The sequence below is a fragment of the Homo sapiens genome, chromosome 6 (genome assembly GCF_000001405.40).
Source record: "Homo sapiens chromosome 6, GRCh38.p14 Primary Assembly".
Classification (NCBI taxonomy): Eukaryota; Metazoa; Chordata; class Mammalia; order Primates; family Hominidae; genus Homo; species Homo sapiens.
In genome coordinates, this window is record NC_000006.12 from 85,642,097 (window position 1) to 85,662,743 (window position 20,647).

Here is a 20,647-nt window from a genome sequence, read left to right on the forward strand (position 1 = left end):
CTGGTTCCCAACATCAACCCGAAGCCGCGGTCGGAGCCCCCAGAAAGCTGCAGCAGCACAATCTCTCCCCTGAACACCGAGGCACCGGCGGCGCCAGGCCACAGGCTCTCCCCGCCCCCCAGCGCCGCCGTCTCCGCCGTGACACATGGCTCTCCGCCCCTGGCGCTCCCCGGGCGCCGACGACCCCCGGCCGCCCGCCCGGCCGAGACGTGACCCGTGGCGCGCTGTGCAGGTCCCCACCCCTTACCCTTCCGTGCAGTGACTGCGACGCCTGCCCGGCAACCCAGCAGCGTGAGGGCGTTCAGCGGACGGCTCAACGCCCGCGGGACCGTGAGCACCGCCCAAGCTCGCCGCACGGCTGCAGGACAAGACCCACTCCTCTCCGCCCACTCCCGCGCCGCGGCGACCGCCACGACAGCACCAACTCTGAAGCCGCTCGCGGTCCGTGCGGGCCACGGGACCGTGGAGGCGCCTCCTCCCAAAGCGCCGCAGACAAAGCCCGAACCGCAGCAGCACATGGAAAGGAGGAAGTGGCGGCGCGGGCCGCGGCCTACTCCCAGGCAGCCCCAGTCAACGTGCTCTTCTCCCCATTGGAATCCATTTTCCAGAAAAGCCGGTTTCTACCCGCGCCACCCTCCCCCAGCTCACTCCACAATGTCATGGAGCTCCCCTCCCACACCCAGGTTCTGGCAGTCGTTACCTCCCCGTTGGGCTGAGGCGGAGAAATCCTGTCCGATGGTATCGGGTTGCGGGAAACGCGTGCTCGCTGCTCCCTGTGTCCGGCGCGAGTGGAGCTGTTGTAAAATGGCGGCCGAAGCTCACGCCGCTGGCAGCAAACCCGATCCAGTTCCACTCGCCTCCGAGCGCGCTCCCGGTGCGCGCGCGCGCCCCCGCGTGACCCCCCCTTCCCTTCCCTTCCCTTCCCTCCCCTCCCTCGCGCGTCCGCTTCACTCACTCCCTCAGCCCCTGCCCTCCTCCAGCTCCTCCTTCTCCCCCTACCACCACCACCACCACTAGCCTCTGTCCGCCTTCTCTCGGCCTTTCTTATTCCCGCCCCCCGCTCCTTTACCCCACTGCTCCCACTCCCCTCTGCGGTCGCTCAGGCACGAGTGGCCGCCTTTCCCCTTCTGGCTCGCACGCTCCCTCACTCCCTCCCTCGCTCGCTCGCACTCTCGGCCCGGTCCCCCAGTCCCTGCCGAGTCGGCTCCTCTCTTTCTCTCTCCCGCGCTGACGTGACAACGTAGCCTACGCCTCGGGACGCGCGCCCGCGGGCTCCGCCCCCACGCCGCGCCGCCTTCCCCGCTCCTCACCCCTTGGGTTGGGGGTGGGGGAGGCACAAGACCCCGCCCTTCCGCTCCGACGGTGGCGGCCGAGGGGCCGAGACTGAATGAAAGGCCCGCCCCTTCCCCTCCCGACACTCCCCCTCCCTCTCCCCTCCAGGCGGGGCGGGCCGGCTCAGCGTGTCCCACTCGTTTTCCTTTGTCAGGAGACTGGCATCTCCCCACCCCGCCCCACCCCACCCCCTCCCCGCGACACCATGCGCACGCCACCCCCACCGAGCTCCCGCCCGCCCCATCCCTGCCCGGTCCGGGGCTGGCGGGGCAGAGTGCTGTGGGCGCTGAGTGCGACTGCCGCTTCCCGGAGGGCACCCACCGGTCTGTGCGCGCCCGGCCCCCGCCCCCGGCTCCGCGGCCGCGTAGCCGTTCCAGGCGGTGTCCACGCCGCTGCCACCGCCCCGCGCTCTCCTCCTCGGGAAGCTGCAGGCGCACGTGTCCCCCGGGGCGGGGCGAGGCAGACAATGGGGCCAAGGGGGAGGGGAGCGGCGCGGAGACCCGCGGACCTTTGGTCCGCCGGACTGGCGGTACTCGAGTGCGAGAGTCGCCCTTGGAGACTCGATCTCCCCAACTGGACAGTGGGCCCTCCTCGCAGCCGCGCGGCTCCGCTTTCACGGGAACCTTCGGCGAAGGGAGGGGCGCCCCAGGCTTGGACGCGGAAACCCCGGCTGCTTTTGAAGGGGGAACGGGGCTGGCTCCAGTGGAGCGAGGAGCGGCTCCTGCCTTGGGATGACACGAAGGCCAGATTTGGAAGCGAAACCGCCCGGTGGTGAAGGGTTGTGCAATACTCCGTTTCAGTCCCTGGCCTTTTAAGCAGTTAAGGGCTTCCTCCTGGCACAGTTTGAGCAACTTGAAACAGCACAAAGCTGCGTGGTTAGAACAACTTTGAGAAAAATGTCTGTGTTTCTTTTAAAAAAAACCTTGGCAACTAAATCTTCTGTGAAATGACGTTTCCTTTATAATCGTTTACTAGGTACAAGAAAGACAAGACAAAGGCATTTGAATTACAGACGCGATATGGATACTAATTTTATCCAGGGCAGCTGTAATGAAAAATAGAAACAATGTCCTTTTGATTAAAAAGCTTATTTTTAAGAGCTTACTGGTTCCCCAGATGAGCTCTGTGCTATGATAACAAATCAGTGGTTTGAGGAAAAGTTAGATAAACACTCTTCAAAGTGCACAAGCACATAAAATGCTAGATTATTTTCATAGCTACTTGGATCAGATATGAAGTATGTTTTAGCCAAAGCACCACATAGCCAACCTGTTTAGTAAGGATTTGAGATCTCCACCACCCCAGATTCCTTACTATCAAACATATGTGATATTCAGCTGCTTCAGCCATAGGGATTTTTGTTCACAATGCAGAGGTCGTGGTTAATGATATACATGAAAAACAAAATGTTTAATAGAAAACTATGAAAATAAGAGTCATACCATGGATTAAACAAGAATAAAAATTGGCCGGGCGCGGTGGCTCACGCCTGTAATCCCAGCACTTTGGAAGGCCGAGGCGGGCGGATCACAAGGTCAGGAGATCGAGACCATCCTGGCTAACACGGTGAAACCCCGTCTCTACTAAAAATACAAAAAAATTAGCCAGGCGTGGTGGCGGGCGCCTGTAGTCCCAGCTACCCTGGAGGCTGAGGCAGGAGAATGGCGTTAACCCGGGAGGCGGAGCTTGCAGTGAGCGGAGATCGCGCCACTGCACTCCAGCCAGGACGACAGAGCGAGACTCCGTCTCAAAAAAAAAAAGAATAAAAATGAGTCTGAAACATGTAACACTTTGTTTAGACCTTCCTGGGTATTAAAAAAAATTTTTTAAAGTGCCTTAACCTGGGCAAAGCTCCCAAATTAAAATCTCTAGCTGTTCTCTGACATCTAATTCCTTTCTCTAGCCACGCCCTCAATGTTTATGTGGGCTTTCTGGCACTCCAGATGGGCATTTCAAGAAACTGAGCACGTGATCTTCCCCCAGTCTTCCGTCTACAGAGTTCCCATCTCAATTAACATCCCCCACATGAATTGCTGGAGCGGATCATTCAAGGCACTTCCTTCTCTACACTGCCATATCAGTTAATCAAGTCCTATCAATTCTGTCTCCCAAATATATCTCCATTTATCTCTATGTTGCAACCACCCAGGCAAAGCCACCATCATCTACCACCTGTACTAATGGCATAGCCTCCTGATTCATCCACTCTTACAGCTGTCCTAATCTGTTCAAAGCCCAAGTCATCTGTCTTTCTGTATGACTCTCTGTCTCCTGTGTAGGCTCTCTCCCTCCCTTGACCTTCTCTATCTTAATTGCAAGTAAGATCCTATGGCGTGTCTGCTTAAAACCCTTCATTAGCTTCCAATTACACTTAGAACAACAGCCAAAATCCTTAACTAGATCAACAAAGCTCTCTAAGATCTGTCCCACCTGTCTCCCCAGCTCATCTCAGCCACTTTATGGCTTCAGCCTGGCCTTCCCTTGATTCTGGCATTTCTTTTTATTTGAGACGGAGTCTCGCACTGTCGCCCGGGCTGGAATGCAGTACGTGATCTCGGCTCACTGCAACCTCCGCCTCCCAGGTTCAAGTGATTCTCCTTGCCTCAGCCTCCCAAATACCTGGGATTACAGGCGCCCGCCACCATGGCCGGCTAATTCTTTTGTATTTTTAGTAGAGTTGGGAGTTTCACTATGTTTGCCAGGCTGGTCTCGAACTCCTGACCTCATGATCAGCCCGCCTCAGCCTCCCAAAGTGCTGGGATTACAGGCGTGAGCCACTGCGCCAGGGCTCGTTTTTTGGTTTTTTGTTTTTGAGACGGAGTCTCACACTGTTGCCCGGGCTGGAGTGCAGTGGCGGGATCTCAGCACACTGCAACCTCCACCTCCTGGATTCAAGCGAGTCTCCTGCCTCAGCCTCACGAGTAGCTGGGATTACAAGCACCCACCACCACACCAAGCTAATTTTTGTGTTTTTAGTAGAGACAGAGTTTCACCATGTTGGCCAGGCTGGTCTCGAACTCCTGACCTCAGGTAATCCACCCTCCTCGGCCTCCCAAAGTGCTGGGATTACAGGCGTGACCCACTGCTCCCGACAGAGTATTCATTAGTTTCATTGCTGTCTTTTCGTCCATGTAAGCTTTGAAACAGTGAGAAGATGCAGCCCTGTTGAGTTGGCAACTAATGAAAGAGAGGAATGTAGGCAGGCCTGTTTGGATTTTTTACTTATCCAAAATTCTTCCACCCAGTCAATGCCACACTGCCACACTGTTTTTTGTTTGTTTGTTTGTTTTGTTTTGTTTTTTGCATATTTTCTTCTCTTCTTTACTGCATTTTCTAAACTTCCTGCCATTAACATATATTAATTTTATAATGGGCCAGGGAACCCTTCAATTCACAGGGTAAAAATTCACAGCACACCATTACTTTTTCCATAGAACCATAAAAAGCTAGTGTTGAAAGAGACCATGGAAGCCATTCAACCTAATCTTTCTAGTAATCAAGAAAATTTTTGCACTATCTCTCACATCTTTTTTTTTGAGATGGAGTCTTGCTCTGTTGCCCAGGCTAGAGTACGGTGGTGCAATCTCGGCTCACTGCAAGCTCCGCCTCCCAGGTTCACGCCATTCTCCTGCCTCAGCCTCCGGAGTAGCTGGGACTACAGGTGCCCGCCACCACGCCCAGCTAATTTTTTTGTATTTTTAGTAGAGACGGGGTTTCACCGTGTTAGCCAGGATGGTCTCAATCTCCTGACCTCATGATCCGCCCGTCGCAGCCTCCCAAAGTGCTGGGATTATAGGCGTGAGCCACCGCGCCCGGCGGCACTATCTCTCACATCTTATTTTCATAGTAATAAAAAGCCTGCCCTATCAAAAATTAAAAACTTTTGTTCCAAGAAAGACACTGTCTAGAGAATGAAAAGACAAGCCGCAGACTAGGGAAAAAAAATAATCTTTGCAAAACACATATCTGATAAAAGGCTGTTATTCAATAAAATATACAAAGAATTCTTAAAACTCAACAATAAGAAAACACACAACCTAATTGAAAAATTGGCAAAAACGTTGATATCAAGTGTTAGGCAAATAAAAAACAAAAAAAAAATGTTTTGTTTTTTTTGTTTTGTTTTGTTTTGTTTTGAGAAGGAGTCTTGCTCTGTCACCCAGGCTGGCATGCAGTGGCATAATCTTGGCTCACTGCAACCTCCACCTCCTGGGTTCAAGCAATTCTCGTGCCTCAGCCTCCTGAGTAGCTGGGATTACAGGCTTCTGCCACCAGGTCTGGCTAATTTTTGTATTTTCAGTAGAGACAGAGTTTCACCATTTTGGACAGGCTGGTCTAGAACTCCTGACCTCAGTGATCCACCCGCCTCAGCCTCCCAAAATGCTGGGATTAAAAGCATGAGCCACCATGCCTGGCAAAAAAAAAAATTTAATGGGCAAAAAATCTAAACACATAGCCCACCAAAGAGGATGTACAAATGGTAAATAAGCATATGAAAACATGCTGAATATCATATGTCATCAGGGACTTGCAAATTAAAACAGTGAGAAAATAGCCAAGATATGAAATTAACCCAAGTGTTCATTGATGGATGAATGGATAACAGAAAATGTGGTATATATCACAATGGAATATTATTCAGACATAAAAAAGAACGAAATTCTGTCATTTGCAGCAAGATAAATGGAATCTGGAGACCGTTATGCTAAGTGAAATAAGCCAGACACAGAAAGAGAAATATCATATGTTCTCATTCATATGTGGGAGTTTAAAAAGTTCATCTCGTGAAGGTAGAGAACAGAGTGATAGTTACCAAAGTCTGAGGGGAAGGAGGCGTGTTGAAGAGAGGTTCATTAATTGGTACAAACATACAGTTAGATGGAATAAATTCTAGGGTTCAATAGCACAGGAGGGTGACTATAGTTAACAATATGTTGTATATCTCAAAATTACTGGATTTGAAATGTTCCCAACACAAATAAATGATAAATGTTCAAGGTGATGGATATCCTAAATACCCTGAGTTGATCATTACACATTGTAGCATGTATCAAAATACCACATGTACCCTATAAATATGTACAAATATTATATATGAATTTTTTAAAAAAACAGTGAGATACTATTATATACCTATTAGAACGGCCAAAATCCAAACCACTGACAACACTAAATGCTGATGAGGATGTGGAGCAACAGGAACTCACATTCTTTGCTGGTGGGAATGCAAAATGATACAGTCACTTTGGAAGACAGTTTGGCAGCTTTTTGCAAAACTAAACATACTTTTGTCATACAATCCAGCAATCACACTCTTTGGTATTTACTCAAATGTGTTAAAAACATGTCTATCCCAAAACCTGCACACCAATGTTTACAGTAGCTTTATTCACAGTTGCTAAAACTTGGAAGCAACCAAGATGTCCTTCAATAGGTGAATGAATAAACAAACTAATATTTTTTATTAGTTTGTTTTATTTTAATAAACAAAATATTATTGTTGTTTAGTAAATGGAGTATTATTCCATTTGAAGTGTTCCTTTTGAAGTGTTATAGATCCTTTTGAAGTGTTACACAAATGTGGCAGCTGTCTTTAAATAAACCCTTTTTTTGTTTGTATTATTAACGTAGATAAGACATCGTGTAAAAATGTTTAGGTTTAAGAACTCAGTATTGTATTGATAGATCGGTGGTTTTTGTTTTGGTCCACACATTAAAATCACCTAAATAATTCTTTAAAGACCCTTGTGCCTAGGTCCATCTCTGCCCTATTAAGTCGGACTCAGAAGTTTATAGAATGGAATATTATTTGGCACTCTAAAGAAATGACCTACAAAGCCACAAAAAGACATGGAGGAATCTTAAGTACTTATTGCTAAGTGAAAGAAGCCAATCAGAAAAGGCTACATACTATATGATTACAATTATATGACATTCTGGAAAAGACAAAAACTATAGAGACAGTAAAAAGATCAGTGGTTAGGCTGGGCATGGTGGCTCATGCTTGTAATCCCAGCACTTTGGGAGGCCGAGGCGGGGTAATAACGAGGTCAGGAGATCGAGACCATCCTGGCTAACGTGGTGAAACCCCATCTCTACTAAAAAATACAAAAAATTAGCCGGGCGTGGTGGCTGGCGCCTGTAGTCGCAGCTACTCGGGAGGCTGAGGCAGGAGAATGGCATGAACCCGGGAGGCGGAGGTTGCCATGAGCCGAGATCGTGCCACTGTACTCCAGCCTGGGCAACAGAGTGAGACTCCGTCTCAGAAAAAAAAAAAAAAAAAATCAGTGATTGCCAGGAGCTCGGGGGAAGGGAAGGAGAAATGAATACATTGAACATGGGATTTTTAGGGTTGTGAAATTACTCTATTTGATGCCGTAATGATGAAGACATGTCATTATATATTTGTCAAAACCCATAAAATGTAAAACACAAATAGTGAACCTTAATGTAAACTATACACTTTAGTTAATAATAATGTGTTAGTATTGATTTGTCAATTGTAACAAATGAAGAAATATACAGGACTAATGCAATTTGTTAATAATAGAGGAAATTAGGGGGTGGAGGAGGTGTTGGTGAGAGGGTAAACGGAAATTCTGTACCTTCTTATTTTTCTGTAAATCTAACAGTGAACTAAAATAATTGTTTATTCATTAAAAGAAGGCTGATTTTTTTTTTTTTTGGGAGATGGAATTTCACTCGTTGCCCAGGCTGGAGTGCAATGGCACGATCTTGGCCCGCCACAACCTCTGCCTCCTGGGTTCAAGTGATTCTCCTGCCTCAGCCTCCCGAGTAGATGGGATTACAGGCATGCACCACCACATCTGGCTGATTTTTTTGTATTTTTAGTAGAGACAGGGTTTCTCCATGTTGGTCAGGCTAGCCTCGAACTCCCAACCTCAGGTGATACACCCGCCTCGGCCTCCCAAAGTGTTGGGATTACAGGCGTGAGCCACCACGCCGGGCCTGATGTTTTAAATATACTAGAAATGTTAAACATTCTTGGTATTGGTTTTAGCTTTTTTTTTTTTTTTTTGTAAAGATTAGAAACCCAGTGTCATTTTAGCTTTTTTACTTTTCACTTTTATGATAGAAGGTGATGGATTAAATTACCAGAAGCCACAGAGTATATACCAGTAACTACAAAAAGAACAGGGATAATGTAAACCCAAACAATGGTTTTTATCCAGGTATTCCCATCCTAATCTGAATGGAGTTCCAGAATAAGAGCAATCTTTCGTTGTTCAGATTTCAAGATGATTCATTGCACAAAAAAAGAAAACTATTGTGATAGTTGTTTTCACTGAACATGTCCATCATGGTGTATCTGAAAGCTCTTTTCCAGGGTGACTCCACCCAAAGCTCCTGCTAAGGGAGCAGCCTAGGCTGTCTTACTCTGCAACACCCACTCATCCTTGCCTTGCCACAACTAATTGGACCAGCATCTGGCACCAGAAGATTCCTATAGAAAAAAAACCAAAGGTAGAATCAGTGTCATGAGGAGGGAGTTAGAGCTGGGGCTATGAGAGGTCATGTCAAACTAAGTTATAAGACAACAGAAACTATAAATAAGCAGGGCCCAGGATGAATTTGGAGAAGTTAGCAGGAAGCCAGATTATACAGGGAAGTCATTGAAAGATTTCAAATATTTAAAATTAGTGTTTAGGGCAAGGTGTGGTGGCTCACACCTGTAATCCCAGCACTTTGGGTGGCTGAGGCAGATGGATCACTTGAGGCAAGGAGTTCAAGACCAGCCATGGGGAAACCTCGTCTCTACTAAAACTACAAAAATTAGCCGGGTACGGTAGTGTGCGCCTGTAATCCCAGCTACAGGAGAGGCTGAGTCATGAGAACCACTTGAACTAGGGAGGCAGAGGTTGCAGTGAGCCGAGATTGTGCCACTGCACTCCAGCCTGTGCAATAAGAGTGAGACTTCATCTCAAAAAATAAATAAATAAACATAAGATGAAATAAAATTAGTATTTAGAACTTTAGAAACTGAATAGTTATTGGAGGTTGAGGACAGAAGTGGCACCAGATGAGGGGTGGCAGTTACTTGGACTAAAGGTGTTGTGAAGGAAATAGAAGTGGGCATATTCACAGTGTATTTTCAAATATAGTTTGCCAAAGATTTAATGATGGACTGAAAGTAGGGAGTAAGGGAGCAATTGGGTGGTTGTTTGTAACACTGACTGAGCTGGAAAGGAAGGGAGAGTAACAGATTTCAAGTTTGTGTCAGTGAGGAAACAATCAGGGAAGCAAAATCACTATAAGTATTATGAAATAAAGGTTTTATTACAGGAATAAGAATTTATATGAGATGAGAGAAGCTGAGAAAGTAATGATCCAAAAGGGAGACTTGGAGAATGAGCAGTGTCACTAACCAGTCCTTCACAAGGCTGGGTGAATGGGGAGAGCTTACAGGACAATCTGGAAGCCAGCCATGTCTCGTTCCTGGAGTGAGACCATGAAAAGGAACTATCTAGAAGGCTGTTCTTCGCCAGGCATGGTGGCTCACACCTGTAATCCTGGGACTTTGGAAGGCTGAGGCCAGCAGATCGCTTGAGCCCAGGAGTTCAAGACCAGCCTAGGCAACATGGTGAAACCCCCATCTCTACAAAAATTAGCAGGGCAAAGTGGTGCGCACCTGTAGTCTCAGCTACTTGGGAGGCTGAGGTAGGATCACTTGAGCCCAGGAGGTCAAATCTGCCGTGAGCTGAGATTGTACCACTGCACTCCAGGACGAGATTTTTGTCTCAAAAAAAAAAAAAAAAAAAAAAAAGGCTGTTTTGTGGCTGGTGGCAGGCCTGTGGTCGCTGTTGGTTCACAATTGGGTAAAAGAACTGGCTACAGACCAGGGGAGAGCAAGATGAAGATGAAAACCTACCAGCACTTCTGCATGTGCTTCTCACTACATTTAACCAAGTTCACACATTGCATTTTGTTGTTTCTTCAGTTTCTTCTAAACTAGAATGAAAATGTCCAAAACCATAGCAACTAGCTACATGTGGCCACTTACATTAATTAAAATAGAATAAAGTCGGCCAGGCATGGTGGCTCACGCCTGTAATCCCAGCTCTTTGGGAGGCCGAGGCGGGTGGATCACGAGGTCAGGAGATCGAGATCATCCTGGCTAACACGGTGAAATCCCATCTCTACTAAAAATACAAAAATTAGCCAGTCGTGGTGGTAGGCGCCTGTAGTCCCAGCTACTCACGAGGCTGAGGCAGGAGAATGGCGTGAACCCGGGAGGCAGAGCTTGCAGTGAGCCGAAATCGAGCCACTGCACTCCAGCCTGGGCAACAGGGCGAGCCTCCGCCTTAAAGAAATAACATAAAACAAAGTCTAAAATTCAGTTCCTCAGCCACACTAGCTACATGTCAAGTGCCCAGTAGCTACATGTGACTTGAGATGAACACATCAATGTAGAACTTTTCCAATCTTTGCAGAAAGTTCTACTTAACATGTTTCCTTAAAATAAATAATACTCCCTCCCTTTATTTGGCTAGATTGAGGTCTTTAATCTAGCACAAAAGGACCCAATTAGAATAGAGCCACTTGAGACTTAACCACTTATATAAATTAATTGCATTATTGTGTCTATTTTTTCAACTCAGCTGATAAAATGTGACTAGTTCTTCTCTCCCTGTATTTGCATAGAGATTAGTGAAGAGATGAAAAGCCAGCAAGAAGCATATGAGGAAATAAAAGTTCTAGATAACTCAATCACAGATTTCTCCAAGAAGACAAGGACAATCATATAGTTTATCAGATTACTAACTTGTATATCTGTAGTCCTACTTTTATTTTCTATATTTTTTGTTATAAAAGATAATACATGCTCCAATAAAAAATTCAACCATTATATAAACATATAAAATAGAAGTAAAAATGTCCTGTAATCTCATTGCCAAATAGAGCTACTATATAAAAATATGTGTATTTCTTTCAGTTTCTTTCTCTCTAGATATTAATATTATTTTCACATGTTTAACAAGAATGGTTTCATATCATACATGTCATCTTATGACTATAACTAGCTTTTTCACCTAATATGTATATTTGGGCACGTTCTCTTGTCAGTATACTTCATACTTCATATACTTCAATTTTCAATAGTTGCATAGAATTTTACTTTATAGAAGTTTCATAATTTCTATAGCCATACTATTACTGGTTGGATTGGTTTTTTTTTTAATCCATTAGAAACAATTCCATAATAAAAGTCTTTGAGTATTTCTGTTATATAAGCATATTTTGATCTACCTCCTTTTTCATGATCTTGACAATTATTTAAATTTATTGTTAAATTGGCAATTTTATATAGAGGAATTTTCATATAAATAAATGAATAGAACTTTTACAATATTAAATCAGTTGCTAAACTGATTCAATCGTGTGTGTATTTACTTTGTGTAAATGTTGGTTAGGGAAAAGAGTACAAATACAAACCCCAAAGTCTAAAAATGCTCAAAACCCACTCTATAACTGGAAAAGACGTACAAGTGTTAAAGTACAGAAAGGGTAGTTACTGGGCAGAAGGAAAATATAGCCTTAGGGATGGGAAGAAATAAAACTGCATGAAAAGGAAATAAAAGTGCCATAGGAGATTTTAATACTGCATTTTACTAGGCTAAGGCTGACAATAAATAAAGAAGGACAATAATATTAAGTAATTTAATTAGTTTAAAGTAGTATTTTATATATATGTTGAACTTGGTACTTTACAGAAAGTACAACTTTTCAAGCATTTAAAGAATACTGACAAAAGGCCGGGCGCGGTGGCTCACGCCTGTAATCCCAGCACTCTGGGAGGCCAAGGCGGGTGGATCACAAGGTCAAGAGATCGAGACCATCCTGGCCAACATGGTGAAACCCCGTCTCTATTAAAAGTATAAAAATTACCTGAGCATGGTGGCGGGTGCCTGTTGTCCCAGCTACTCGGGAGGCTGAGGCGGGAGAATCCCTTGAACCTGGGAGGCGGAGGTTGCAGTGAGCCGAGATCACGCCATTGCACTCCAGCCTGGGTGACAGAGCGAGACGCTGTCTCAAAAAAAAAAAAAAAAAAAAAGAATACTGACAAAAATCATGCTCTAGGTCACAAAAAAAACCTGCAACAAATTTTTTTTTCTTTTTTTTTTTTTGAGATGGAGTTTTGCTGTTGTTGCCCAGGCTGGAGTGCAATGGCGCCATCTTGGCTCACTGCAACCTCCGCCTCCCGGGTTCAAGCGATTTTCCTGCCTCAGCCTCTCGAGCAGCTGGGATTATAGGCGCCCGCCACCACACCCGGCTAATTCTGTGTATTTTTAGTAGAGACGGGGATTCACCATGTTGGTCAGGCTGGTCTTGAACTCCTTACCTCAGGTGATCCACCCGCCTCGGCCTCTCAAAGTGCTGGGATTACAGGCGTGAGCCACCGCTCGCAGCCAACAAATTTTAAAATGCAAAATTGAATAGCCTAAATCTTCTGAATTCAATTTCATACCTCTACAAATTAACCACAAAAGGTTAGTCAAAAACTATGCCCCAGTTAGAATATTTAATTGGATTTTATTTATTTATTTATGTATTTATTTATTTATTTGAGACGGAATCTCGCTCTGTCGTCAGGCTGGAGTGCAGTGGCTGGATCTCGGCTCACTTCAACCTCCGCCTCCGGGTTCAAGTGATTCTTTTCAGCCTCCCAAGTAGCTGGGACTACAGGCACGTGCCACCACGCCCAGCTAATTTTTGTATTTTTTAGTAGAGATGGGGTTTCGCCATGTTGGCCAGGATGGTCTCCATCTCTTGACTTCATGACCTGCCCGCCGCGGCCTCTCAGAGTTCTGAGATTACAGGCGTGAGCCACTGAGCCGGGCCCAATTTGATTTTAAAACAAAAATTAAAATAAATTATTCTAAGTATATTTTGGATTAAACAAAAAATTAAAGATCAAAATAGAATTGCAATAAACATTTATTTGGGCTGAATAACAAAAGCTGAGCATTAAAATCAACATTCAACAAGACCAAGGCCAAATATGAGTATCATAATGATAAAATAAACTTCTAGAACACAAAAATAAAACCTGATATTTTATTTTTTTAACTTAAATTATTGCCAGGAACAGTGGCTAGCACCTATAATCTCAGCTACTCGGAAGGCTGAGACAGGAGGGTCTCTGGAGCCCAGAAATTCCAGGCTGCAGTGAGCTATGATCTCGAACTGCACTCTAGCCTGGGGAAAAGAGTGAGTTCCATCTCTAAAAACAATTTAATTATTATTGCAATTCTATCATCAAATTATAAATGCCTAAGACTAGCATAGAGGAACACAAATTTCTCAGCACTGTTACCTGCTAGACTCCTCCTGCAGAAATCTGCTGCATGTTTGCCATACCAAACAGATGTTTGCTTTCAATTAAGGCAGTCTGTACTGGGACCTCAAGTCTGAATAGGCATTATCTAGGTGAAGAGGTAGGGAAAGAGGAATCCAGGCTGAAGGAACAACATGTGTCAAAGCAGAGGGGTAAGATAAATATGGGGGCTTCTAGAAATGGAAAAACGTTCATTGTAGTCAGAATGCAGAGTGGGCAAAAGGCAGGGCTGGGGAAGGAGAACTTCTTGCAAGATGTGATATTGGAGAGGTAATATACCGTCATATTAGGAAACCCTTGCACACCACCTGGAGCTGAGGCTTTCGCACTTTTTTGACCATGACTAAAAGAAAAAGATATATTTCATAATACCACCAGCTTACACATTTCATGTATATGTATATAAGAACTATATTTCATGCGAATACTTTTACTATGTCCAAAGCTCTTTTGTATTTTCTATTGCATGTTCACTTTTACTTTTAAAAAATTCTGTCTGTCTTCTACTAGACTACACTGAGCCTTTGTGTGAATTAGAAATAAGTATTCTCTTTAGGCAGATATAGCTTAGAGATTGTGAAGACCAGGCCTTGAAGGCTGGAAGGGGCAGTGGAAAGTGACTTTATCCAAAAAAGATGCCCCTTCCTCAAGTTGGATGAAGCTCCACATATTTGCCCCCAACATTTGGAGAGCGTGGGGCAAGAGTGCAAATGGAAGCCTACATACCCTTAAGTCTATTTAAAACCGTAGACCAATCTAACAAACCAATAAATAAAATGTGTTCTGGCCGGGCGTGGTGGCTCACAGCAGTAATCCTAGCACTTTGGGAGGCCGAGTAAGGTGGTTCACCTGAGTCAGGAGTTCAAGACCAGCCTGGCTAACATGGTGAAACCCCATCTCTACAAAAATACAAAATATTTGCTGGGCATTATGGCAGGTGCTTGTAATCCCAGCTACTCAGTAGGCTGAGGTGGGAGAATTGCTTGAACCTGGGAGGGGGAGGTTGCAGTGAGCCGAGATGGCACCGTTGCACTCCAGCCTGGATGACAGAGAGATTCCGTCTCAAAAAAAAAAAAAAAAAAGGTTTCTACCCTTCTACCTCAACTTATATAACTTCATAGTGACCTCAAAGATTCAGGTTCCAATTTAGAATTCTTGGACTCAGAATTCAATGTAGGCACATAACTTCAAGCCTGCTCCCCTTCTTTTCCCACCCTGAATTCCACCCTATCCAAAAAGGGCTTTTTGTCCATTTACATCTGAACACTCTGTCCTACTAATCTCACAGTCCTGGAGAGTAGAAGTCTGAAATCAAAGTTGGTAGAGCCATGCTCCCTCTGAAACCTTTCTTGTCTCTTCTCAGCTTCTGGTGGTATTCAGGCAATCCATGGCATTCCTTGGCTTGCAGCTGCATAACTCCAACCTCCACCTTTATCATCACATGATATTCTTTCTGTGTCTCTGTCTTTTTTATGGCCCTCTGTTATAAAGACTGCAGTCATATTGGATTAGGACCCACCCTACTCCAGCATCACCTCATTTTAACTCACTACATCTGCAATGATCCTATTTCCATTCTGTGGTACTAGGGATTAAGACTTCAACATATCTTTTTTGGGAAGACATAATTCAACCTATAACAAACTAGTAAATTCTGTATTTGTTGAATGAATGAATGTGATTCAGAACGCTGGAGGAGAAATTTGCCTTACTCCAGAGGACACCATACTATTGTAGTGAGAGGGAATGAAAAACAGTGGATACAAATGAAAGCTGGTGTAAGGAAATTGTGTCATCTGACAACATCAAAATTCTCCATGAAGGAGGTAAAATCATATTTTTAGGTGAGGAAAGAATTGGGATAGGGGAGAAAGGAGTGAAGAGATGTGGAGGAGAAAGGAAGTCTGAGGAACGAAAACTGACAAAGTGGCTGGGCACGGTGGCTCATGCTTGTAATCCCAGCACTTTAGGAGGCTGACACAGATGTATCACGAGGTCAGGAGTTCTAGACCAGCCTGACCAACATGGTGAAACCCTGTCTCTACTAAAAATACAAAAATTAGCCAGGTGTGTTGGCACGTGCCTGTAGTCCCAGCTACTCAGGAGGCTGAGGTGGGAGAATCACTGAACCTGGGAGGTGGAGGTTGCAGTGAGCCGAGACCATGCCATTGCACTCCAGCCTGGGTGACAGAGTGATACTCCGTCTCAAAAAAAAAAAAAAGAAAAAAGAAAAAAAAAGAAAACTGATAAGGGAAATAAGAATTGCCTGTAGTATTGAGAGCCCGGTTGAGTTGGAGACTATAAATTTATGGTGGCATAAGTCTGTGCTGCCATGTGATTTAGGCAGCAAGGCTCAGTAATACTGGCATGTTATTGGGAAAGGCAACTGGTTGAATCAATCCATAGCTGGGGTTTTTCCAGGTAGTGTTACAGACTAATGGGTTCTTCTTGCCCACTGCACAGAAAAGCCAATACAATGAGATAGCAGTGTTGCAGCAGAGAGTTTAATTATAGCAAGGCAACTGAATGGAAGGATAGGAGATATTTCTCAAATCTGACTCCCCGAGAACTCAGAGGCTAGGGTTTTGAAAGATAATTTGGTGGACTGGGTTTAGGGAATGAATACTGCTGATTGGTTAGGGATGAAATCATAGGGACATTGAAATTGTCTTTGTGCCCTGAATCAGTTTCTGCATGGGGGGTGTCAGGGAATCACAGGACCCACAGAGTCAGTTCTTTGGCATGGGTCACAGGTACAGTTAGCATCTGCCAGGATGCCAAAGTCTGAAAAATATCTCAAAGACCAGTCTTAGATTTTACAATAGTAATGTTATTTATAGGAGCAATTAGGGTTACAAATCTTGTGACCTCCAGCTCTGTAACTCCTGAAGAGTAAACAATTATAGAAAAGCAAGCTAGGGAACAATGGCTTGTTATCGTTTAACTGTATCTACATCTTCACAGAATTCAGGCCACTCCCATAATTCTAACCTTGTGGACTTTCATTAGCTTTAGGGAGGTAGTTTTGGTTCCTGAACAATAAGGGTTAGTTTTAAGAAGGGACTGCTGTCATCCTTGCTTTAAACTATAAACTAAAGTCTTCCCATAGTTAGCTTGAACTATGCCTGGGAATGAGCAAGAGTAGTTAGGCCTTGTGAAGTTAGAAGCAAGATAGAGTCAGTTATGTTAGATTTCTCTCATTGTTATAATTTTTGCAAAAGTGATTTCAGTAGTTGCCCAGGAAAGAAGACAGGGTAAGGAAGTTGGGAATATTGCACGAGAGGGCCACCAATAAACCTCGAAATTAGGCTGGATAGGAAGGGAAGTTAAAAACAAGTAGGATTTGATATGAAATGCAGAGGTCCTTAACTTTTCATGCCATAGACACTTTGCCAGTCTGGTGAAGCCTATTGACCCCTTCTCAAAACATATTTAAAAATGCATAAAAGATGCTCTTCAATTTACAATGAGGTTACGTTCCAATAAACCCCATTGAAAATACTGTAAGTTGAAAATGCATTTAATATAACTAACCTACTGAACATCATAGTTTTCTTAGTCTACCTTAAATGTGCTCAGAACACTTACTTTATCTTATAATTAGACAGAATCATCTAACGCAAAGTTAAAATCTTGAATATCTCATATGTTTATTAAATACTGCAGTAAAGTGAAAAACAGAATGGTTGTATGAGTATTTGACCTACAGTTTCTACTGAAAATGTATTGCTTTCATGCCGTTGTAAAGATGAAAAATCATAAGTTGAACCATTGTAAGTTGGGGACCATCTGTATAAGATTACAAATGAAACCCTTTACATTAAAATACAACTATCAAAATATTTAAACAAACCAAAAGTGTCCCATAGTAATATATGTGCTTCTTTGCATTAAATAACAAAATCTGTGACAGGCTTAAAGAGTATCATAATTTCTACATAGAAATAATGTAGAGGTTTACATATTTGTATCTGATCTGAACTGTAAGATATATAAAAATAGCTGTGGGTCTCAGTTCCTCTGGGAAGGTAAGAGCCTAACTCTGGTGGGCAAGTGGGCACCTTGCTCCAGTTTGCAATAATTGCCTTTCTAATTTCATGGACATTAGATGCCACATGGATGAAAGAGGCAAACACCATATCCACATCCCATTCTACCCCAAACTTCAGATCCTGGATGTCCTTTTCTGACATGGCAAGCAGGTCCACAGTCACCAGGAAGGTCTACACCCTTTTTGCTGCCCAAGGAGCCATAATTTTCCATTGCTATCACCAGGAGGTCAGTACCTTTCTGCTCCAACTGCAGAGAAATAAGTTATTAAATCTATAGATCTTGCTGCCCCTTTCCACTACCTTACAAATGTTCTTGTAGTCCAGCTACAGGAAGTTCTCATCATAAGTTTTCCATGTAGGCATTATCCAGTGTGATCTGAAGGTGGCTCCCTTCTTCAGCTCCACCTCCATGGGGACACTGCTCTGTGTGAGCCCAGTTCAGATCTCAGGCCCGTTAGTGTCCAGAGCCACAGCAACTAGCCGCTAGAGATTGGGGTCAGAAGCAAGGCTTTCCATAGTTGTGCACACATTCCTGATGGTCTCTGCGTGGTACTCGTAAGTTCAGACAAGCCATATTAATTCCAGACTTAATCATCAACATTTCCACCAATCAGGAAACTAGGCCGATAGTACAGATGATGCCAGTGCTCTGGGCTGTGGGGGTGGCCAGTGAGTGTTCAGGCAGCACACATGCTACAGCAGTGTGTCAGCCACCACCGTGGGCAGCTGCTGAGTCTGAAATGAAGGCCCTCCTGGCTTCACTGTGGGGCTTCCACTTGGCTTCTGAGGTCTTTCAGCGTTTTCTGGCTCAGACTACTTGCAAATGCAGAGAGGTCAGGAGCCTAGGGACATTCACTCCTGTCCATTATATATGTTTTATTTCCAGAATGTCTATTTGATTGTTTTCATGTCATCCAAATTATTTTTGATGGTCTTTTATTTCTGTATCATATACCAATGCCTTCCTTTATTTCTTTAAACATTTTAACATACTCATTTTATAATTTTTATTTAAAATTTCTGTATCTGAAGTCCTTGTGAGTCTGGTCTTGAGGTTTGAAGATTTTGCTAATTCTTATTCGTGCTGGCTCAGTTCCTTGCGTGTTTTGGATTTTTTTTTTTTTACTTTTAAATGTGTTTAAGTTGACATATAATTGTACATATTCATGGGGTACATACTGATGTTTCAATATATATAATGTATAGTCATCAGATCAGGGCAATTAGTACATCCACCATCTCAAACATTTATCATTTCTTTGTGTTAGGAACATTCAATATCCTCCTTCATGTTACCTGAAAGTATGTATTATTGTTAACTATAGTCATCCCACAGTGGTGTAGAACACTAGAACTTATTCCTCCTACCCAGCTATAATTTTATATGCCTTTTTTTTTTTTTTGAGATGGAGTTTCGCTTTTGTTGCCCAGGCTGGAGTGTAGTGGCGCAATCTCGGCTCATGGCAACCTCCGCCTCCCGGGTTCAAGCGATTCTCCTGCCTCAGCCTCCCGAGTAGCTGGAATTACAGGCATGCACCACCATGCCCAGTTAGTTTTTTGTATTTTTAGGAGAGACGGGGTTTCTCCATGTTGGTCAGTCTGGTCTTGAACTCCTGACCTCAGGTGATCCGCCCACCTCGGCCTCCCAAAGTGCTGGGATTATAGGCATAAGCCACCACACCTGGCCTTAATTTTAAATCCTTTAACAAATCTCTCCCTACCTTCCCATCTCCCATACCCCTGCTAATCTCTAGTATCCTTCGTTCTACATTTTACTTCTATGAGATCAACTTTTTTTTTTTTTTTTTTTGAGACAAAGTCTCACTCTTGTCCCCCTGGCTGGAGTACAATGGCGCAATCTTGGCTCACTGCAACCTCCGCCTCCTGGGTTCAAGCAATTCTCCTGCCTCAGCCTCTTGAGTAGCTGGGATTACAGGCACCCACCACCACATCCAGCTAATTTTCGTGTTTTTAGTAGAGACAGGGTTTCACCATGTTGGCCAGGCTGGTCTCGAACTCCTGACCTCAGGTGTTCTACCCACCTCGGCCTCCCAAAGTGCTGGGATTACAGGCGTGAGCCACCATGCCTGGCAAGATCAACTTTTTTTAGTTTCCACATGAGTGAGAACATGTGGTGTTTAACTTTCTGTTCCTGGCTTATTTCACTTAACATAGTGTCTTCCAGTTCCATTCATGTTACTGCAAATGACATGATGTCATCTTTTTTATGACTGAATAGTAGCCCATTGTGTATATATACACACCACATTTTCCATTTTTTTTCTTTTTGAGACAGGGTCTTGCTCTGTTGCTCAGGTTGGAGTGCAGTGGTGCTATCATGGCTCACTGCATGGCTCATTGCAGCCTCAATCTCCTGGGCTCAAGTGATCCTCCCACCTCAGCCTCCCAAGGAACTGGGACTACAGGCACACACTACTGTACTTAGCTAATTTTTTAAATTTTTCATAGAGATGGAATCTTTCTATGTTGCCCAGGCTGGTTTTGAACTCCTTGGCTCAAGCAATTCTCCTGCTTCAGCTTCCCAAAGTGCTGGGATTGCAAGTGTGAGTCACTGTGTCCAGCCTAAATTTTATTTACCCATTTATCTGTTGTTGGACACCTAGGATGATTTCATATCTTAGCTATTGTGAATAGTGCTGCAATAAACATGGGGATGCAGATGACTCTTTGGAAAAAAAAATAGCTGTGCTTTCTATTGGTGACAAACCCATAGATATTGCTAGTACTATTGTGGTGTACAGTTTACATTTGTTATTGAAAGAAATGCTAAATTTCAGTTAGTGTTTAGTAAAAGTATACATATTTTCCCCTGTCCAAGTTCATAGACTTCTTGAATTTTATCCATGGTTCTCTATGGGACAGTGGAATCCCAGGTAAAAAGGAC

General features: G+C 44.1%; 1 protein-coding gene and 1 pseudogene across 16 annotated transcripts in view, besides 2 other annotated features; both read right to left on the reverse strand.

The window, feature by feature from the left end:
• The window catches only part of SYNCRIP (synaptotagmin binding cytoplasmic RNA interacting protein), a 36,087-nt gene extending 34,313 nt beyond the window's left edge, over positions 1–1,774 (reverse strand). For 11 of the 16 annotated variants that reach the window (NM_001253771.2, NM_001159673.2, NM_001439159.1 and 8 more), the window contains exon 1: positions 701–790. The gene's annotated coding sequence lies outside the window, so the exon portion shown is untranslated. Of the gene's footprint in view, positions 1–700; positions 791–1,653 lie in introns of those variants that run through there. The other 5 variants (NM_001439160.1, XM_017010178.3, NM_001439161.1 and 2 more) reach the window with 1 other exon arrangement.
• Positions 110–259: a silencer, noted in NCBI's record as "silent region_17369". NCBI's record gives its function as "represses an Ori minimal core promoter by ATAC-STARR-seq in GM12878 lymphoblastoid cells {active_cell/tissue: GM12878}" and the evidence as "EXISTENCE:reporter gene assay evidence [ECO:0000049][PMID:35858748]".
• Positions 850–1,869: a silencer, noted in NCBI's record as "silent region_17370". NCBI's record gives its function as "represses an Ori minimal core promoter by ATAC-STARR-seq in GM12878 lymphoblastoid cells {active_cell/tissue: GM12878}" and the evidence as "EXISTENCE:reporter gene assay evidence [ECO:0000049][PMID:35858748]".
• Positions 17,775–18,604, reverse strand: PKMP3 (pyruvate kinase M1/2 pseudogene 3; annotated as a pseudogene).